Below are 22,769 nucleotides of genomic sequence, written 5' to 3' on the forward strand. Positions count from 1 at the left end.
TTTCAACTTCTTTGCCTTTGGTTTGAATGCCCTCCCGTAGCTAAGAGTAATTTGATCGTCTGAAGCCTTCTTCTCTCAGCTCGTCAAAATCATTCTCCATCCAGCTTTGTTCCGTTGCTGGTGAGGAACTGCCTTCCTTTGGAGGAGGAGAGACGCTCTGCGTTTTAGAGTTTCCAGTTTTTCTGTTCTGTTTTTTCCCCATCTTTGTGGTTTTATCTACTTTTGGTCTTTGATGATGGTGATGTACAGATGGGTTTTCGGTGTGGATGTCCTTTCTGTTTGTTAGTTTTCCTTCTAACAGACAGGACCCTCAGCTGCAGGTCTGTTGGAATACCCTGCCGTGTGAGGTGTCAGTGTGCCCCTGCTGGGGGGTGCCTCCCAGTTAGGCTGCTCGGGGGTCAGGGGTCAGGGACCCACTTGAGGAGGCAGTCTGCCCGTTCTCAGATCTCCAGCTGAGTGCTGGGAGAACCACTGCTCTCTTCAAAGCTGTCAGACAGGGACATTTAAGTCTGCAGAGGTTACTGCTGTCTTTTTGTTTGTCTGTGCCCTGCCCCCAGAGGTGGAGCCTACAGAGGCAGGCAGGCCTCCTTGAGCTGTGGTGGGCTCCACCCAGTTCGAGCTCCCGGGCTGCTTTGTTTACCTAAGCAAGCCTGGGCAATGGCGGGCGCCCCTCCCCCAGCCTCGCTGCCGCCTTGCAGTTTGATCTCAGACTGCTGTGCTAGCAATCAGCGAGATTCCGTGGGCGTAGGACCCTCCGAGCCAGGTGTGGGATATAGTCTCGTGGTGCGCCGTTTTTTACGCCGGTCTGAAAAGCGCAATATTTGGGTGGGAGTGATCCGATTTTCCAGGTGCGTCCGTCACCCCTTTCTTTGACTCGGAAAGGGAACTCCCTGACCCCTTGCGCTTCCCAGGTGAGGCAATGCCTCGCCCTGCTTCGGCTCGCGCACGGTGCGTGCACCCACTGGCCTGCGCCCACTGTCTGGCACTCCCTAGTGAGATGAACCTGGTACCTCAGATGGAAATGCAGAAATCACCCGTCTTCTGCGTCGCTCATGCTGGGAGCTGTAGACCGGAGCTGTTCCTATTCGGCCATCTTGGCTCCTCCTCCCTCATCCCTACTTTAAAATGGTTGTTTCTATCCATTGCTGATATCTTATTTCTCTCCCTGCATTTTATTATTTTTGATAAATTTGCCAATTCTCCCTTTTCTGTTAATTTATCTCCCTGCATTTTATTATTTTTGATAAATTTGCCAATTCTCCTTTTTTTGTTAATTGGAACATGTCCTCAACTTTATTAATTTTTAAAAAGCCAACTATTAATTTGATTTACCAACTCAACTTTTTTTTTTTTTTTTTTGAGACAGAGTCTCTTGCTGTGTTGCCCAGGCTGGAGTGCAGTGAAGTGATCTCTGCTCACTGCAACCTCCAGCTCCCAGGTTCGAGCAATTCTCCTGCCTCAGCCTCCTGAGTAGCTGGGACTGCAGACACACACCACCACGCCTGGCTAATTTTTGTATTTTTGGTAGAGACAGGGTTTCACCATGTTGGGCAGGCTGGTCTTGAGCTCCTGGCCTCAAGTGATCTGCCCACCTCGGCCTCCCAAAGTGCTGGGATTATAGGCATGAGTCATTGTGCCCGGCCTCAACTCAACTTTATAAGCATTTTGTTCATTTATGTTGTTAGTTTTATTATTTTCATTTTACTATTTTCTTTTGGCTTTTCACTTTAGCCTCTTAGCAGATAAAGGCTTTGCTTTTATGGTGTTTTTTTCTTTCTTCCCTAATTTAGAAAAATGAGTGTTTTTCTAAGCACTGCTGTGGCAATACTCCATCAATTTTAATACAGAAATATCATTTCAAAATATTCTGTAGTATAGGGACTTTTTTTCTTTTTTCTTTTCTTTTTTGATTCATTCAAATATTTATTGAGCAGCCAAGGAGACCCAAAGGTGATTAAAACATGGTCAGAGAGGTGAGGCAAATGTGCAAGTAACAGAAAGCAAGGGGCTAGGTTCACAGAATCACAGCTGTCAAAAGAAAGTGCTTTAGGACATGAAGAGTGAGTTCGTTTCCAGCCTGGAAGGAGCATGGCTGGCAAATCAGAAAAGGGGATTCAGATTAAAACAGAAGACTTCAGTCTGGATGGCTGATGATACTCAGCATGGACTATATTTCTCTTTCCTCTGTCCCCATCTTTGGACTTAATTTTGCAGTATTGCCCAGGACTGTTCAATGTGCTTTTTCTGTACTTGCTTGCATTTTAGCTTTAATGTCTTCTATAGAACTAGGTCCTTTTTGGATTTTTAGGAGTTTTTTCCTGTTTTTTTTGAAGTATTCATGACCTTTTGATCTTGGTCTTGATAGTTTTGAGTTTTTCCATTTTGGTTTGATTTTGGTGCATTTTTGGCTGGAGCATCTTATATAGATTTCTTCACTGGAGCTTTTTCTTCAATTTCTTCATCATCAAAATTATCATCATCATCATCTTCATCAGCAGCAAGTTTTACTTTTTTTTCTGTGGAAACTTGCTGCTACCTCCAGGGGAAGATTGCCTTCCAGATATATTAAATACCTAAGAGTTTCACATCCCCCTGCTCTTCATCTTCTGACTCTGCCTCTCCCTCCACAGCTGCTAAGTGCTGCCCACTAATATGCATTGGCCTTGATCCACACTTCAACTGTAATCCCACGGCTGATGTTATTTCAAAGCCCCCAAGGGAAACCGTTGACTGTACTGACATTTTCAAAGTTGCCAGTGTTACTTCAATAGGACTGCCTTCATAATTCATTGCCTCTGCTTCAACAATGTGCAATTCATCTTTTACACAGCCCCTAACCTGACCGTGCTTAAAGATAACTGGTGCTCATTTTCATCATTATCCACCCGAAACCGATCATCTTCATCGGCCTTTAGTTCACAACCAAAAGATAGTTCTGGAGCCACAGGGGGCTTGTGTCCATGTCCATTGAATCTTCCTTGGGGTGGTGACATACACTTCGGTGAGAGAGAAGGCAGACGGAGATAAACAACTACCGCTCCAGAGAACAGCTGTGCGGGACAGAATCACACCAGGCACAGAATTATTTTCTTGATGTAGGAAGTATTTAGGCACTTAAAATTTTTTTATGTGATGTAGAGATTTTATATTCTGCATGCATTGAAAAACTCTAGTTCACCGAGATATGATTTATATACAATAAAATTTACCTTTTCTAACCAAAGAGTTTAATGAGGTTTTACAAGTGTGTAAAATTGTGTGGCAACCGGCTGGGCGTGGTGGCTCACGTCTGTAATCCCAGCACTTTGGGAGGCCGAAGCGGGTGGATCACGAGGTTGGGAGATCAAGACCATCCTGGCCAACATGGTGAAACCCCGTCTCTACTAAAAATACAAAAATTAGCCAGGCGTGGTGGTGCGCCCCTGTAATCCCAGGTACTCAGGAGGCTGAGGCAGGAGAATCGCTTGAATCCGGAAGGCAGAGGTTATAGTGAGCTGAGATCATGCCACTGTACTCCAGCCTGGGCGACAGAGCGAGACTCCGTCTCAAAGAAAAAAAGAAGACAAAAATTAGCCGGGTGTGGCAGTGCTTACCTGTAGTCCCAGCTACTCAGGAGGCTGAAGCAGGAGAATTGTTTGAACCCAGGAAGTGGAGGCTGCAGTGAGCTAAGACATGCCACTGCACTGTAGCCTGGGCGACAGAGTGGGACTCCGTTTCAAAAAAAAAAAAAAAAAAAATTGTGTGGCAACCACCACCATCAAGATACAGAACGCTTACATCTCTCCATGAAGTTCCCCATGTCCCTTGGCAGTCAACTTCCTCTCCTATTCCTGGTTCCTGGCATCACTGGTCTGATTTCTGTCCCTGTAGTTTTTACCATTTATGGAATGTCGTATAAGTGCAATCGTACAGCATGTAGTCATTTGTGTCTGGCTTCTTTTGCTCAAAATCAGATTTTTTAGATCCGTCAGTGTGTTGCATGTATCAACACAATGCTCTTTTTTTTTTTAATTGTTGCATAGTATGCCATCATGTGGACACACCACAGTTTGCCTATCCATTCAGTTAGTGAACATTTGGGTTGTTTTCAGTTTTTGGCTATTATAAATAAAGCTGACATAAATCTGATTGAACTTTAATTTTTAATTTTATTGTTTTAATATTGTGAAATATTAGACTTTCTGACTTCTTTTTGTCTGCCTTCATCCATAATATGATAAATGTGTATACATCCTTATATTCTTAAAAAAAAGTATATTCTATTCTACCTTTTGCCTCTCTCCATTGTCTAACTGATTGATTCTCTTGATCAACTCTGCAATGTCTTCTATTATTTTATTATTTATTGATTATTAACTTTCTGATTATTTCATACTGAGAGGCAACACACTACTGTGGTTATGAGAATGGGCTGTGGAGTTAGACAGACTTGAGTCTCAGTCGTAGCTTCACCTATTACTAGCTGAGTTTCCTTGGCAAAGTCACTTAACTTTTTAAGGTCTTATTTTCCTATCTGTGAAATGGGGAGAACGATAATAACAATACCTACCACATGGAGTTGTGAGGATTAAATGAGACGATGTATGTAAAGTGCTCAGAGCGGTACCAGGCAGATGGAAAAATCTCAAAAACTGATACATTTGGCTATTTTTATATTGGAATAGTTAGCTCTGTAATTTCAATCTATTTCTTCCTGTTTTTCTTGAATTTCAGATATTCATTTAACTGCATGTGTTATGTTCATCTGTTGTTTGGGGCATATAATTCAGAATTGTTGAATTTTTGTTCTTTAATTTACTGTTTACTATGCTTATTTAATGATGATTTCATCTCTCAATGCTTCTTTCTCCCTTCCTTCCCTTCCCTTCTCCTTCCTTCCTTCCTTTTCTTTTTTTTTTTTCCAGACAGTGTCTCTTCCTGTTGCCCAGGCTGGAGTGCAGTGGCACAATCATAGCTCACTGCAGCCTCCAGCTCCTGGGCTCAAGCAAACCTCCTGCCTCAGCCTCCCAAGTAGCTGGGATTATATTATTACCCTGATCCATGTAATCCGCCTCCATGGACATGCTGAGAACCTTAGTTTCCTGGAAAGGATCATAGTATTAGACATAGTTTATTGAGTACTTATAATATGCCCAATACAGTATTAATAACCTTATATATTAATACATTGTCTCAATAATCTTTTTTTTTTAATACTGAGTCTCGCTCTGTCACCCAGGCTGGAGTGCAGTGGTGCGGTCTCGGCTCACTGCAACCTACGCCTCCTAGGTTCAAGCGATTCTCCTGCCTCAGCCTGTAGCTGGGACTACAGGTGCCCACCCCCACGCCCAGCTGACTTTGGTATTTTTAGTAGAGATGGGGTTTTGCCATGTTGGCCAGGCTGATCTTGAACTCCTGACCTCAGGTGATGTACCTGCCTCAGCCTCCCAAAGTGCTGGGATTACAGGAGTGAGCCACCATGCCCGGCCTCAAAAATCTTTAGGATGTAGATGTTACTGTTATTATTATTCGCATTTTATAGATGAGAAAAGTGAGGACCTTGCATAGGGTCTCATGTCAATTAGTAGCAATCAGGACTCAAACCCAGATAGTGTTAAACATTATGTTTTACTGACAGGCATTGATAATACAGCAGGAACCAAACACTCTTTGAAATGAATATATGCCCTCAACATTTGCATAAATACATGGAGCTCCATTTATAGTTCCTTGGGCTGCTGGCAGTTCATTCTATATAGACTTTGGAAGCCCTTTAAAGTAATGACTTTTTTTTTTTTTTTTTTGAGACAGGGTCTCACTCTGTTGTCCAGGCTGAAGTGCAGTGGTGCTACCATAGCTCACTGCAGCATCGACCTCCCTGGGTCAAGTGACCCTCCTGCCTCAGCCTGAGGGTTGCTCTGGCTGAACTTGAACTCCTGGGCTCATGTGCTCTTCTTGCCTTGGCCTTCCAAAGTGTTGGGATTACAGGTGTGAGCCACCATACCCACCCTAATAATGACTTTATAATTTGGCTTCATCCCACACATATTCCCACTGCTCCCTGAAATGCTCCCTTACTGTTTTGTTGGGAATCTTGTTCTGATCTTCAGAATATAAACACTCTTGGCTCTAGTGAATAATCATTACAGATGATATGACAACCTGGGTGGCTTTTAAGTCATATATGGATGAATTTTGAATCAGATGCTCTCTCAAGGGGATTCTTCTTCCAGAATCCACAGTCTCGACTCTGCCTTCATGCACTCGTAGCCCAGAATCCCTGCAGGGGCTGGTGTGCGTTTCCCATGCTTGCTGATCCTGCATATATACTTTGTAGAAACCACTTACATTACAATTGCTCCTTTAGCTTCTGTGAATTAAAGTAGTTTTCCATTTTGGTGCTTCCTCCTAGATTATGACATATGTTGAATTTAGGTCAGTTAAAGGGCTCATGGGAAGAGTTTTTGCTAGGACTCTAATTTGTTTACTCAAGATGGAATGGAAGACCTCTTGGCACATGTCCCATGAAGCTGACTGGCCAGCAGTAGCTGTATTGAGCAAAAAGTCCATTCAGGTTCTGGAGTGGAGACTGGATCCAGTTGCTTATCGGGAGCTCTGGGAAGGGATGGGGCCCAGTCTATTATTGTCACCAGAAAAGAAGCATACGAACTGCTTACTTTTGACAGTTGCTTAGGAATATTCAACGCAAGACCTTTATTAATATAAAGCTTCCCTGTGTTTCTTCCTCTCTGGTCACTGAATCTGTGGATGATGCAATGACAGGACGCCGACATTCTAAAACTTATTAACTCTGGGCGGATGCGTGCTCTAGAATGAGAGACAGAGTTAGTATGCTGCTAGATAGGCATGTGTTGATCACAGGTAGAAAGGGCTGCCAATGGAACAGCAAGCCAAGGCCGATGGTAATGAGTCAGGGGTTTCCGTTTCTCATCTCTTCCTCTGAAGGGCTCACCTCTCCAGGAGGGAGGGCTCACCTCTCGCCCAGGCAACTGTGCTGGCCTCCAGCTGGGTCCCCCGACTCCAGGCTGTCCCCCTTGGATCCGTCTTCTCTGTTCAGAGTCTCTTATCTCTGTGCTGATAGTAGACCTGGTCTACTCCCCATTTTGTGTTGCTTCCAAGCTCTTGAGGGAGGGCTCTTTCATGCAGAGGACTGGGTAGTTGCTCTGTGAAATGTGTGGAACAAATGAATAAATGAATGAGAAGAGAAGGGGATAATTTTGCTGGGCAACACCCTCCATCAGTGGTTCTTGGTCTGGGGCCACATCTGAGCTATCTGTGGATGTTTTCAATAATATCCAAGTCAGGACTCCACTGCAGACCAATTGCTTCAGGAACTAGAGTGAGGCGAGGACAGCTGTGTGTTTGAAACACTCCAGCTGATTCGAATGTGCATCTCTGTGTGGAACAGCTGCCCTAGATTGGTGGGTCTCAAACTTGATTGCACATTGGAATCATCTGGAAAGTGTTCAAACACTTTTTTTTTTTTTTTGCCCCACCCCAGTTTCTGATTCAGTAGGCCTGGGGCAGGGCCCAGGAATTTACATTTCTGACCAGTTTCCCTGCAATTACTCATGTTGTGGGTCTGGGGCCCACATTTTAAGAACAAACACCCAAGATTTTTCAACAGCTGTAATGCTTTGTGTTAACAGTACTCAGTCTTTAGCTGCATATTAAAATCATAATGGGAGCTTTCACAACATACTGTTGCCAGAGTCTCACTGTAGCTCATTATAACTGAAATATGTGGGAGGAGCCTTGGGCATCTTTTGTTTGTGAAGTTTCCCCAGGTGATTCTCAAGCACAGTGAGGTATAAGAAATGCTGCTCTAGATTTTTGCCACTGAAAGCATGGTCCTGCGACTGGCAGCACTGGCACTATCATTGTTTGGGAGCTTGTTAAAGACGTAGAATCTCAGGCCTTACCCTGGACCTACTGAATCTGCATTTTAACAAGACACGTGGGCAACAAAGTTTGAGAAGCACTGCTCTAGAGAGCTCTCTTCATCTCCTATGCTCAAAGAATGATTTGTTTCTTATCTCCAATATTACAGTGCAAATTCCCTCAGGATAGGCTTCTTGATTAATTTATCCTCAAGCCTACAGCACCTAACACAGTGCCTTTTTTCATACAGAGGTGCTCAATAAATATTTTTGAATGAATAGATTTTCCTGTGAGTGTTATCTCCAAGGTACTTACACACTTTTCTTCTTCCCACCATCTGCTCCTACTACCTTCCAGGTAACATATACCTCACATTGTCATATCACTTTAATCACCTCCTGGTAGACTTTGAATGTTTTCACTCTCTGAATCTTATGTTGGAATGTGATCCTCAGAATTGGAGGTAGGGCCTAGTCGGGGGTGTTTGGGTCATGAGGGAGGATCCCTCATGAATGGCCTGGTCCCTTCCTCATGGGAATGAGTGAGTTCTTGCTGTTAGTTTACAATTTAAAGGAGCCTGGCACCTCCTTCTCTCTCTCACTCCTCCTCTTGCTATGTGACATGCCTGCCCCCCCCTTGCCTTCTACCATGAGTAAAAGCTTCCTGAAGCCTCACTAGAAGCCAACTATAGCCACTGCCAGGCAGAAATGTGAGCCAAATAAACCTCTTTTCTTTACAAATTACTCAGCCTCAGGTATTCATTTATAGCAATGCAAAACAATCTAACACACCCCCAAACCTAACATCATTAAAAATATATCTCATGGGTAGTAATCATTTTAGACTTGCTTGGTATTTCAAGGAAAAACAATCTGGACTCCTTAGGCTCCATTTTTCTAGAACTCGTTGCTACCCAAAGGTTTGCTGTGTGGGCCCAAGGCTTTGGTTTCATCTGCTCTCACATAATGGAAGTTAACATTCTTCTCAGAATTTCCATCACCATGGTTACTGGCACTGAGTGGCTTCCCTTAGAATCTCAGAAACATTCCTGTAATTATTTTTTTCTGGTAATGTATAGAAATTAAAACAAAAATTAAAGATGCCCTATCACTGGGCACTGTTCATTTGCCTCACCACGGTAGAAATGTTTTACCTTTAGAGCCATTTTAATGCTCTTGAGAAATGGTCAAGTTGAACATCTTTGGGAATGAGTCAATCTCAGGAGGCTTCTAGAAGCCAAGTGTGGTCAGCAGAAGAATGCCCCTCCAAGTCCCAATTAGTCCTAATTATTCTACATCTTAATCATCCCCCGCTTCCCAACATGTGAATATTACCTTATCTGGCAAAAGGGTCTTTGCAGATGTGATTAAGGTTAAGGACCTTGAGATTGGGAGCTTATCCTAGATTATCCCAGTGGGCCCAATGTCATCAAAGGAGTTCTTAAAAGCTGAGAATCTTTTCTGGCTATGGCAAACCAGAGAGATGGCAGTGTCAGAAGAGCTTGACCTGCCAGGAATGGGGAAAAGGGACCAGGAGCTAAGAAATGAGCATAGTCTCTAGAAGCTAGAAAAGGCAAGGAGACAGATTCTGTCCTAGGGCTTCCACAGAGGCACCAGCCCTGCTGACACTTTGATTTTAGCCTAATGACACCTGCGTTGGACTTTTGATCTACAGAACTGTCAGACAACAAATTTGTGTTGTTTGAGCCACCAAGTTTGTGGTGATTTGTTATAGCAGAAATAGAAAACTAATGCAGAGAGCAAGGCACCTTTTTGTTTCTAGGTATGTTTGGAGGTAAAGACCAGGTTACAAGCATCCAGTGACAAGTCTGTTTTGTTACATTCTTTTGCATCACATAGATCGTCTCAGTTATCAGAAAATGATTTTGTATTTTGGCATAAACTCTGTTTCTAAAATTTCCATCCTTCCCCTCCCTTGATGTGAAGTAAACTTCAGAGGATCCGGTGTCGGGATGGAAGGGTAATGAATGTGGCAAGTTGTGTTTGAGTTTGAAGAGTATAGATGTGCCCCCAAATATCTACTCTCACCCAATGTTTGAAATTTCATTATTAGAGACCCATGGCTTGCATCTTCTTCAGTTTTCCTCTATTACAGGCACTTATACCTCCAGAGAGGTAACTGCTATAAGCCCTTGTAGGAGAATTTGGTTACTTTACCACTCCCTGTGGGATGGATATGAGATATTATATGGGAAAGGCAAAGGAAGGAGCAACCTTCCTGCCATCATGAATTTTTTTTTTTTTTTGAGACAGAGTCTTGCTCTGTCACCCAGGCTGGAGTGCAGTGGCGCAATCTTGGCTCACTGCAACCTCCGCCTTCCGGGTTCAATCGATTCTCCTGCTTCAGCCTGCCGAGTAGCCGGGACTACAGGTGCACGCTGCCATGCCAGGCTAACTTTTGTATTTTTAGTAGAGACGGGTTTTCACCATATTGGTCAGGCTGGTCTCAAACTCCTGACCTCAGGTGATCCACCCACCTCGGACTCCCAAAGTACTGGGATTACAGGCGTGAACCACCATGCCTGGCCACCATCATGATTTTGTCAAGAACTATTTATCTAAGATAGTCAAGGAAAGTTAAATGAGATGCTGAAGGAAAATTGTGTGTGTGTGTTTATTTAGTGCCTATTCAGTGCCAGGTGTTTTATTTAGGCTACTGCATCTAGCCTTTCAACAGTTCTGTAAAATGTCAGGTGAGGGGTTTTCTTTTACACTACTTACAAGCTAATAAATTAACCTATTAATGTTTAAAATGTATTTTCCAGCGAGTATTAGTCTCTTATTTCTGATGCTAGCCAAAGACCTGAGACTCCTAGGTCAGAGACAAAGAACTTTATTACTCACCATCACAGCAAAGAGCATCAGCATCAGCTCCCTTTGCTACTAAGATTCAAAGGGCAAGCTGACACAGATCCAGAGGTATACTATACGCACAGTGGGTTTGTGTCATAGCCAAGGAACATTGAGCTTGAAGAATCTACTACTTTTATAGCAAGTAGTAAGTAGTTGTGTTCTTTGTTCCAGGGTGGGAGACATTACTTTGTCCCTCAAGTTGCTCACTGCAAGCACAACCCTGACAAATAGCCTGGGTAAAGAGTACACAGGGCCTTGGATTCTTGGCATACCCTACGCGCTGCATATGGGTTTGAGAGATCCATGGAGAGAACTGTCTCTCCCAACACAAAATAGGTATTATTATTCCTATTTCACAAACAGGAAAGTTGAGGTAAAAGAAAGTTAAACATCTAATGTAAGGAAACAAGGGGTAGTGAGACCAGGATTCAAATCTGTATCTATATTCTGAAGCCCATGATCTTTTTACCATATGTTGCTGTCTACTGGGAGGGCTCTTGGAAAAATAATTATACCACATTGGTCTTTTATTATGATTCACAAGATAACAAATGCAAACTTAATATTAAAAAATGTCCAGAAGGTGCTGAGATTTCTGATGGGTATGCAAAGATATGTATGTATTCATCCACTCATTTACATATATTTCTAAAAACCATCTATGTATCTGCCCCTGTGGTAGGAATGGATGGAGAGAAAGGAGTAGAAAAATTAAGAATTTGTTCATTTGTGAAATGTCTCAGTGCCACTTAACACAACAGTGTTTTAAATTTCCAAATTCAAAACTTAAGAGTCTGTAGAACTTTGACATTCGGAAAGGTTGCCTTTTCTGAACTCCTAATTACTTTAAATTGAAAGTCACTTCAATCTCTTTTCTGCAGCTTCTCTGGACTTTTGGTTTCATTGAAGTATAATCTAGGCAGCTTCAGTGGGAATTTATCACTGTATTAAGGAAGAAGATACATTTTGATTCTGGAAAACTCAATCTCTTTTTTAAAAGTCCACATGTAAAAAGACATTTGGAATAAATTTTAATGTGATTCATTGGAAAAATTCTTTCAATTTGAACTCTCTGCTCATACAAAAGGATCAACTCATTAAGTTCTCCAGCGTCTCCAAGGAAGATGGTGATAATGGAGGGCTAAATTGTGGCACTTCCGTGTTTCTGATAAAAGCTGAGAATGAAAAAAAAAATGTGACCCCTTTGACATTACTTATTTAAATACATTACTTATCAAAAACAATTATGGTTGTGGGCTTTGGAGCAGGGAAATTCTCAGCTTCCAGAAAGCCTATGGAAAATATCATTGAAGTGTAACCCCTTTCACTCGCCCCATTCCTGTCTCTTCTATTGGTCTAATTTTGAGATTTTATATTCCTTATGGATGAACTCCTAGAGATCTTTGTCTGGAACCAGGTCTACTTTGAAGGTTGAAACAGTGATTAATATGCCTGTGTATTAGTCACATAAAAATGTCTGGAAGGATGTCTCTCCACTCACATGTCACTGTGGCTATCCTGGGGCCATGGACTCACAGGAGGTTCTTTTGCATTCTCACCGGAGGGTGGGTTACTTCAGGTGGAGCAAGAATTCTCTCCTTGTCCCTGGCTTTCCAATATGCAGTTCACTTCACCCTGGGTTGTTGCCTCCTTTCTTTCTTGCAAATAGCACATGTATAGTTCTTCCTTAGTGCAAGTGGGTGGGTGTTTGGTGGTGAAAGAGAAAGGGGAAGGTGGGCATGCAGAAACAATTGGGGCTGCCATGCTGGTCAGGCTGTTTTCCCCCAGGCCTCTTTGGGTGTTGGTAGGCATAGGGTTGTTGGTACCTTGGGCCAGCTGGACCTTTCTTTCTCTTCGTTCATTTCACAATTACTTACTGAGTGAGGGTATGTGCCAGATACTTCCAGGGGATATAGCAGTAAACAAAGCAAATTCCCTCTTTCATGGAGTTTACATTCTAGTAGACAATTAAAAGATAAAAACATCTAAAATATGAAGTATATCAGGCCATGACAAGGGATGGGAAGAATAGCAGACCAGGGTAGAGCAGATGGAGAGTGAAGGAAGATAAAGGTAAAGGGAGCGATTTTTTCAGGTGAAGAGGAAAATCCTTCCTGATAAGGTGCTATTTGAGTGGAGGCCTGATGGAAAGGATGGAAGGGGCTCAGGGGCTGCTATTTCAGGCAGAGGGAACAGTACACAGAGTACTGAAGTGTGAATGTCCTTGGGCTTTTCAAGGAACAGAAGATAGTTCAGTGTAGCCAGGGCAGAGTGAGAGAGCTGAGAGTATAGGGAAAGAGGACAGGGGGTTAACTGTGCCCCAGGCCCTGTACAGCCTTGCAGGCCACAGTGTGAGGGCCTGAAGATCTTAGTTGGGTAAGCAGGAAGCAACAGGGGAATATTGAGCTGAGAAGTGACTTGCTAGAATGTGTTTTAGAAGAAACATTGTTATCTTGTCTTTAATTTATTTAAAATATTTTATACTGGACAGTGGGTTTTAACACTTAATGACCTTTTTTCATTAAGTGTTGAAGAAGTACATCACTATGTTACTGGGTATATTTAATAATTACATTCAATATTGTAGTGAAATAGGGACGTGATGCTTTCCAGAAGAGAAAATAATCAAATAGAGATTTACAAAGCCATTTGCTCATATCTCCATGACGGACACAAGCCTTAGTCTTTATGCACAGGTGTATGAGAAATGTAAATCTTTATCTTCCCATCAATATACTCCCAGCATGAGCTCCATTATTCTGGGGGTTCCTTCTTCTATCTGAGTTTCATGTAAGTCAGGGGGTTAGGATGCAACAGAACAGCGATTCTCCAAGTGTGGTTCCCAGAGCTGCAACATCAGCATCACCTGAGAACTTGTTAGAAATGCAGATTCTCACTCTCCACCCCAGGCCTGCTGAATCAGGAACTGTGTGGCTGGGCTCAGGAATCTGTGATAACAAGCTTTCTAGATAATTTTGATGCACATTAAAATCTGGGAAAATTTTCTTATGGTGTCAAGTCGTGGGTGACGACAGCTAGTCTGTAATGTCGTCAGTCCACAGTCCACAATGGCATCAGCTGAGACGTTGTCTTCCCCTGTTGATCCACGCAGGGTCCAGCTTTGCTCCTCATGCCTGACTGCAAGCTCTTTCATGTCAAGTTTTCTCTTTCTCTCAGCTAATTTTTGGGCCATTCTTATGGCCCTGTTCATATGATGATTCTATTATTTCTCTATCAAATTGAGCTTTGGGAAATTTTGTGGTTGTTATCTAAACTCAGGCTACTTTGGGTCTCTCTCAACATCGTGAAATTATCCTGCCATTTCCTTGTTACTCTGAGGCTTGGAGAACTCATACATCACATGTCCATTTCTTTTATGGGGTCTTGCTGTCTTCATAGCCTCAGCCCAAGAATGGGAGTCCAAGTCTTCTTCACTCTCAAATTGCCCCATATTTAACTGAAGTTTCTTTCACTTTCCTTCTCCCCTCAATAGTCAAGAGAATGTTTTCCTTCTCCCCTCAATAGTCAAGAGAATGTTTTCCTTCTCCCCTCAATAGTCAAGAGAATGTTCTCCTTCTCCCTTCAATAGTCAAGAGAATGTTTTCTAGTCTCAGGCAAGAAAATTTGCCTTGTTCTAGAAGAATCTCACCTACAGCACAAGCTATCCATCATCAAGGTAGATAAAGACACCTGGGGAAAGATCTCAAACAATAGCTTCTCTCATTGATGAAACAATTGTGCTGTTTTAATTTATTAATTGAAAAACATTATTGTAAGCATAATACATCTCGTTTTAAAAATGTGCCTGTATATGTGCCAAATGCCTCTCAGGTGGTTCTTAGATGCCTCAAATTTGGGAAGTCCTGAACAATATCCTCAGGACTGAAGCTGCCCACATCTTTTCTCTTATTGATTACTAACCTTTCATGGACCCAGTGAGTCAGATTCTGTGGGTTTGGGTGTGAACTGTATCATTTATATATTGTCTGCTTTTCTTTTGTCCTCACTAGCTTGCAAAAATTAAAGGCAGGTAATTATCATTTTAGGCACTGTCAACATGAATACAAATGAATGATTGAAATTTTATTTGGTTTTGAGTTGATCTAGATGATAAAAAATATATGTAAGTTTTTTTTAAATTATACTTTAAGTTCCGGGATACATGTACAGAACGTGCAGGTTTGTTACATAGGTATACACATGCCATGGTAGTTTGCTGCACTCATCAACCCGCCTAATGCTATCCCTCCCCTAGCTTCCCATCCCCTGACAGGCCCCAGTGTGTGATGTTACCCTCCCTGTGTCCATGTGTTCTCACTGTTCAGCTCCAACTTATGAGTGAGAACTTGCAGTGTTTGGTTTTCTGTTTCTGTCTTAGTTTGCTGAGAATGATGGTTTCCAGCTTCATCCATGTCTCATCATCACTGGTCATTAGAGAAATGCAAATCAAAACCACAATGAGATACCATTTCACGCCAGTTAGAATGGTGATCATTAAAAAGTCAGAAAACAACAGATGCTGGAGACGATGTGAAATAGCAACGCTTTTACCCTATTGGTGGGAGTGTAAATCAGTTCAATCCTTGTAGAAGACAGTGTGGCTATTCCTGAAGGATCTAGAACCAGAAATACCATTTGACCCAGAAATCCCATTACTGGGTATAGATCCAAAGGATTATAAATCATTCTACTATAAAGACAGATGCACAAGTATGTTTATTGCAGTACTGTTCACAATAGCAAAAATATATGTAAGTTTTAAAAATTACTTTGGAATGAAAATGGAGATTAAAAAAATTTTTAATAAACATTTTGTTAACATCTGAGAATAAGTTCTCAGAAACCCAGGGATACTTGGTTTAAGTTAAGGATATACTGGTTTTGAATCTCTGGAGTCAGTGGTTTTATTTTTGTATGCCATGGACACCATGCCTTTTGGAATTATGGCACTTCTTTCTCCTTGCCACTCTTGCCCCAGTATCCCTGTCTGTATCAGATGTATTTGTGCATTTTGTTTTTTCAGGGAGATATATGGTCTTATTTTTGGAGAGAAAGAAGCTGCACTTGGATGTGGAATGAAAGGATTCCTGGAGATGATGAAACTGATTGCATTTGCAATGTTTTTATGACAAGCTGGATGTCATCAATCCTTGTAAATATGTGACTCGTAATCACTATTTTGGAGGAAGAAGTTGCACCAGCACATTTTTAGTTTTGCTTATAATCCACAGTAATTTAAAGTGGTCAGAATCTAATTATGCCCATTTCTGATAGACATTCAAAATAAGCCAGTTTCTTAGCTCTAAAGCTTCATGAGGCGCCCATGCAGGAGTAGCTGAGATCTTATAAGAAGAACAGAAAATACAACCCCCTTACCCTGTCTATTTTAAGGCACCCCTCTGTCAAAGTGCACTTCCCATTTCCCAGATACCTTTGCATGGAATCACCATGGCATTGAATGAAAGTGTTCTGAAACGTGGAAGAAGAATTAACTCCTTGAGGAACATGTTTTAAAAGTTCTATTTGTCTCTGCTACATGAATTGTCAGAGAAGCCTCTCAAACTGCCCACTGGCTGTGATTTTGGGCTATATCATTAGTCAGCCAAGCTGATTAAGACTAATTTTGGTCAAAATAAATTCGTGCCTGAGCAAACAACCCATGTGCAGAATCTCAACCAAAGGCAATTAAATCGAGATTCCTTTTATGATGGAGACTCAATAACTACTGTGGTTTTTGACATCATTCTAATGAACCAACGGCAAAGAAATGTCCCCAGTGTATCAGACTATCCTAGAATTTATTTTCTATATTTCTTCTCACTTTAGAGTTGCTCTTTGATTCTGGCACATCATTCTCTCTGATAATGGTTTCAAATCAGCTTGTCTGATTCATGGCTGCACAGAGAAGGTTTTCTCAGGAGCTAGTGGAATGGTTATTAAAAAAAACATGGAGAGGCAGATGGTAGGCTATTTTACTGGCTCATCTGCTTTTGCAGGGAATGATTATACATTCAAAGTAAGTGGCACCAGAAGTGAAATCTAACTGAGGTTGATCTCCCATGTTTCCTTGTAGAGAACATAAAATACAGCAGCAGAGACAGCCTAAAAGCTGATCCCTGAGGACATGGTCATGGTCGTGATACAACCTGGGGCTGAAGCAGATCTGAGAGGTCATTTATTTGAGGTTCCAGCCTTCTTACAACCTCGTTGTCATGATATTTCAGTCTTTGCTTGAACACCTTGAGTGATGGGGGAACTCATTATTTGCATTTGTAGGCAGTTAATTGCGATATAATTCTCCCTTCTTTTGAGCTGATATTGACTTCTGAGTAGTATCCATTTATCCATTCATTAATCCTGGCTATACTCTTTGGAAGCAGCACAGAACAAATTGATTTTCTGTTCCACCTGGCAGCTAGCTTGGGTGTGAACTAGAATGCCATCTCAAGTCTTCTACAGGCTAACTGTTCCCAATTCCTTGGGTCATTCCCCATATGAAATGGGTTGGGTACTGGTTCATAAGCCTCTGGACTGGGGGAAACTAGGAAGAGACAGATAGTTTAAACTTGCTTAACCCACATTCATGACACAAACAAATTGAACATTCAATACCAGGCCCATAAAAATGAAAGACATTGTCAATTGGATTTTAGAGGATAAAGTAGGAGTAGTGGCAGCAAAGACTGTCTCTCAGGTTTCCTCATCCTTGTCCCAGGCAGCATAGCCTTAGGTCCAGTGTCTCTGTAGACTGGTGATGATGCAAAGGAGACTTAGTGGCTCTACTCTGGCCCTTTAAATAAAGTTGACTCACACACTCAGCACCTAGACTTGGCTTAAACATATAAGAATTTCTAGATCAGAGGTTTCCAGAACTCTACTGGAGATTTAGGGATCCCTAGAGACAGATTTACTTTGGGGACTTTGGGGTGGCTGAATGGCCTTTTCTCTTTTACGTTTTGGAGTTTCACATTCAATATTGTCAATTAGAAAAATAGATTCTGCGGCTGGAAGACCATCTATCAACCAGGACTGTCTACTGCTTTCTCTTTTTTTTCTCTCTTTTCTTCCCATGTCATCTTCAGGCCATTTTTAATGTCATCTTCCTGGCTCCAAGGCCATAGATTGTGCTTCTCACCCAGGATTCTGTTATCCAATCATTTAATGTCCATTTTCTTGCAGTAACTGCTACAACATGGGTGACTCAGGGAAGAGATAGTAAAGAGATGGTTAAAACCTGGCAGTTTTGTGGGGGAATGGCCTTAGGCGCAGGGACTTGAGATAATCATACTCTGTATTTTATGATGGCTACAATTTATTTCATTTTTTTCCCTTCATCTCTTCTATACAGGCACCCAGTGTAAAGTGCTTGATGTATGTCCTTGGTTATATATGATTCCATGCAAAATGTATGGTACTCCTTTGTGTTTGCAGTTTACATAAATAGTATTGTGTTATAGATCTTTTTGTTTTGTTGTTGTTGTTTTTACAAGTTTCAATATGCAGGTCTATTTCAATGCTTTCTATGCTGCAGTGATTTCCATGGTAGGTATCCCTCCACCCAGTATTTATCTCCTCTTGCCTTCTCTGAACTCAGCTCCTTAATATTGCAAAGTATGTGATGCTAGGATTCCTATGCCTATAGGTCTCTGTAAGAGCTTGAGGTATTTTCCCAGAATGGGAATCCTGGCTCTAGGAAAAATGGGCTGAACCCTCTCTCACTAGCGGGAGATGGGGTCCTTATCTTTTTATATTCCTGTTAATGCTTGGTATTTTCTGTCTACCTAATCTGCGGGTATAGAGCGATGTCAGTTTTCATATTTCTGATTACTCGTGAGGTGGGGGATCTCTTGATATACTTGTTAGCCATTTGGGCCTCTCCTTCTATGAATATTCTATTTTACTATGGCATTTTATGTATTTTTCTTGTTGATTTGCAAAATCTACCTGCATATTCCTGACGTTAATTCTGTGACATTTCAGATATTGCAAATATCTTATCATAAAAAATTCTCTTTTTAATGGATCTGAATTTGTTTTGCTATGTTTTGTTTAAGACTTGTTGTTTTCCTTTAATTGCAGGTGTGAGTGAAAGTTGGGCTTTTATTATTGCTTTCCTGTGGAAAATTCCACAAGAACCTTCAATTTACTAATTTATTCCCACGTCTAAGTACAGTCTTAAGTAAACGTATCTACCAGATGTCAGCTAGAGCCCTCTCTTCATGTAGCTAGAGCTACATGAAACTGCTTTGAAAAACTCTTCTCTCAATTCTTTAAATTAGACAAAATAACCCCCAGAATCCTATGCATTCTGGGATAATTACATTATTAAGATCCCCTTTGTTTTGGCGCTCACCAGTTCTATATAAACATGATACCTGAATGTCTCTTTTCGTTCGTTTCCACAAGAAATTCATCTGCATCATGCATTTGCTAATAAGATGATTATCTAAAGTTGAGAGAGCTACAGTATGGTGTCACATCTTGAAACATAAGTGTTCCTGTCATCTTGTTTGCTTTCCCTCCCCACTTCCAGCCTCCATTACTGTAAATTCTTTTTCAATTATGCAGAGCAATTTGGCTCTCCCAAAACTTGATCAGACCCTCAAATGCTTAGCAAACTAAATGTCCTCTTGTCAGACTGACATATCTAGTAGCCAGCTGGGTTATACATAGGTCCTACAAAGAGAAATTACATTTTATGTTGCAACACCAATGAGTGGTTTTGCATGGACACAATCTAATGAGAGGTCAGGTAACCTTCCTTTATAATGTACTTTTTTTTTTTTTTTTTTTTTTTTTTTTTTTTTTTTTTTTTTTTGCATTAGAGTAGGTGAACCTTTTAGGAAGGGAAATGACAAATATTTCCAGAGCAGACTTGCTTTTTTGTTTTTGTAAGGGGCTAAGGCTTTACCCTGGTCTCAGTGCAGGTTGTAAAAAGAACATGGGTCTTAGAACCCCAAGATCTCTGACAATTGGCAAAAGTGTCATCTTAGATAAGTTGCCTATTCACACTGAGTCCCATGTCCCTGTTGCCAAATGAGAATACTAACACCTACTTCCATATTTGTTTGGAGGATTAGAGGTAATATAAAGGGTCTAGTATGATTTCTGGCATAGAGTAGGTGTTAGGTGTTCATTACATGCTGGGCAATTGTTACATACTCCAACAAGATAGTGAAGAACTCTGGGAGGCAGCACAAACACCTAGCGCATCCTTTGGGGTGGTTGCTGGGACTCTTGAGTGGAAAGTAACAATGAATGGAACTTTTGTCAAAGTGCTGGGGGAAACAGAGGTGAATTTTCTGAAATGTTCAACTGGATTCTCACAAAGTAGTTCACTTACCAATGAAAAATCTTTGGTGATCTCAAATTCTTCATCTTATTTTATTATTTATTTTTTATTTATTAAGAGACAGAGTCTCATTCTGTCACACAGGCTGGAGTGCAGTGGTATGATCCCAGGTCCCTAAAGCCCCGAACTGGGCACAAAGGATTCTCTTGACTCAGCCTTCTAAGTAGCTAACTACGGATGCATGCTACCATGCCCGGTGAATTTTTTTCTTAGAACGTTTTGTAGAGACAGGGGTCTTGGTATGTTGTCCAGGCTGGTCTCAAATTCCTGGTCTCAAGCGACGTTCCCATCTCAGCTTCCCAAAGTGTTGGGGTTACATGAGCCATTGCACCTGGCAGGTTATTCATCTTTTGATGTAACTTATTACACAGAATCTACTTGGCCTTGACTTTATGTAGTGGAAAGATATCCTAAAAGATCTCTTTAGAGCTAAAAACTCCCATTGGAGAAATCATAAAATCCTTGGAATGCAAACCCACCTGAATATCTGCAACAGATAAGGCTACAGCCTCTTTCTAGGACTTAGGGTCAAACTGAGGAGTGTTTTTCATATCTCTGTATCCATTGGGATTTGTGGGCATAAGAATTTTCTGATTTGTAACTTGAAGATGTTATACTCTATATGCATCTTCCTCATTGCTATTGGTGTTATGTACAAGAAAGTTAAAACAAAATATACAGGACATTATCAGTCTGTCCTGAAAGAAAAGGAGTGTTTATTTCAGCTTCTTCTGACTTTACTCTTTATACGCATTGTTTCCAAAAATGTCTATGCCAAGTGAAGTTTTATATGGAAAAATAAAAAAATTTTATTGGCTTCTATAAAACTTTCAGATAGATATTCATATAGAAAAAATTGCCCTTGTAATGAAACAGCTACAAGAAAAACTAAGGTAGTGTAATTAAAAGATTAGTTTACATGTATTTAATTTTTTACTGCAAGAAAATGCAATTAAGAGGACAATTAATTTACATAACCAGTTTATATTACATTAAAAGCCCCTATACAGGCAGGTCCATGGTACAGTGAAATTTAAGTTTGATTGTCTATTGAGCTTCATGATTCTCTTTGGAACCTGACGGCCCATGTACAGATAATTGGAAGAACTTGTTGGCTGAAGGAGCCCTTGTATCAGAAAATTGCAGAGCCTCTAAGTTCTACTTATCTCCTCAGGGCCCAGGGCCACTTGTTTCACCCCACTTGCCACCTGATCTGCCAACCAGTAAAGGTGGGGTATGCCCATCTGTGGAAGTAGAGACCAAGTTTCCCCATGTGCGGGATTGCTTTAGCTCCTGAAGTGTGAAGCACCACGGGACCTGCTCTTTGGCCAGGTACATATAACCTAGACATGGAGGGAAGTTAGCCCTATTTTTGATAATGTGAGAGCCAGTAGATAAATTCTTTCTTTCTTTCTTTATTTTTTTTTTTTGGAGATGGAGTCTTGCTCTGTCGCCCAGGCTGGAGTGCAGTGGCATGATCTCGGCTCACTGCAACCTCCACCTCCTGGGTTCAAGCTATTCTCCTGCCTCAGCCTCCCGTGTGGCTGGGATTACAGGTGCGCACCACCATGCCTGGCTAATTTTTTCTTGTATTTTTAGTAGAGACAGGGTTTCACCATATTGGTCAGGCTGGTCTCGAACTCTTGACCTTGTGATCCACCCGCCTTGGCCTCCCAAAGTGCTGGGGTTACAAGCGTGAGCCACTGCACCAGATCACTTTAGTTCATATGGCCCCTTAGAAGATGGTCTTACACAATTGAGTACTCAGTTGTGTTTGTTTGGTACTAAGTGTGGCCAACTTAGCAAAGCACTTTATATTTATTCTCTTTTCTTCTATGCCTCATTCACTTTTGCCTCCACTCCTTCCTTGGGTGCTATAATGCCTAATAAAATTGCAGCATGAACTTTGCTTTCTGGGGAACCTAGGCTAAGGCAATTCTCTTCTCATTTTAATATAGCCTCCAGGCAATATCACTGTATAGATACAGACTTCATTTATGATTTCATCAGTGTATGGTGTAGGTAGATTGTCTTTAAAGAGTATAACATGGCACTTTTCATCAAGTAGTCAGTGAATTCTCTTGAGATACATGCTCAAATGGTATCTGTAACATTCTGCATTTCAGTAGTTCTACTAAGTTTTGCTTTGGTTTAGACACCATTTAATGTGTCAGAATTTGTGTACATAAACCTGATGACAATTCCCCTTATTTACAAAGCTATGGTGCCCTGAGTGTCTAAACATAAAAACCAGAGTGAGCTGTCATCTTGAGGGTGGAGAAGCAAACCAACTTTGTCCTCTGGCTTCTCTTCATAGATTATTAGACTTTTCCAGGTTTGTGACATGACAACAGCTTCTGGCTTTGCCTGTGTAAAGGGGTTAAGAATTGTACCTAGCTGGAATATATATGTTCCAGCTCTCCACAATAAATGAATCCAGTAATTTCTTGGAGGAGGGAAATATGTTCATTAGGAGGAAGTTGGGAGGTACATAATGTAGACAAGAGATAAATATATAAAGGTTAATCTTAGTCATTTGAATATAGAGTGGAAAAACTCAGAAAATAGTACTCTGAACTGATCTAGCCTAGGGAAATAATGATGCTTGCCCCATCTTACCTGAACTGGTGTTTTCACGAACCAGGAAGAATGCGATCAAACAC

General features: G+C 41.3%; 1 long non-coding RNA gene and 1 pseudogene across 1 annotated transcript, besides 1 other annotated feature; both read right to left on the minus strand.

The window, feature by feature from the left end:
• Positions 275–863: an enhancer, noted in NCBI's record as "NANOG-H3K27ac-H3K4me1 hESC enhancer chr3:24136149-24136737 (GRCh37/hg19 assembly coordinates)". NCBI's record gives its function as "activates a minimal SCP1, AML or CMV promoter by ChIP-STARR-seq in primed H9 embryonic stem cells {active_cell/tissue: H9 hESC(primed)}" and the evidence as "EXISTENCE:reporter gene assay evidence [ECO:0000049][PMID:30033119]".
• On the minus strand, positions 2,036–3,080 carry NPM1P23 (nucleophosmin 1 pseudogene 23; annotated as a pseudogene).
• On the minus strand, positions 5,591–8,864 carry LINC00691 (long intergenic non-protein coding RNA 691). Its single transcript, NR_026834.1, has 2 exons — positions 8,197–8,864; positions 5,591–7,163 (listed from the first exon to the last, which is right to left on the minus strand). It is a non-coding gene; the product is annotated as a long intergenic non-protein coding RNA 691 (long non-coding RNA).

This window comes from Homo sapiens, chromosome 3, assembly GCF_000001405.40.
Source record: "Homo sapiens chromosome 3, GRCh38.p14 Primary Assembly".
NCBI lineage: Eukaryota > Metazoa > Chordata > Mammalia > Primates > Hominidae > Homo > Homo sapiens.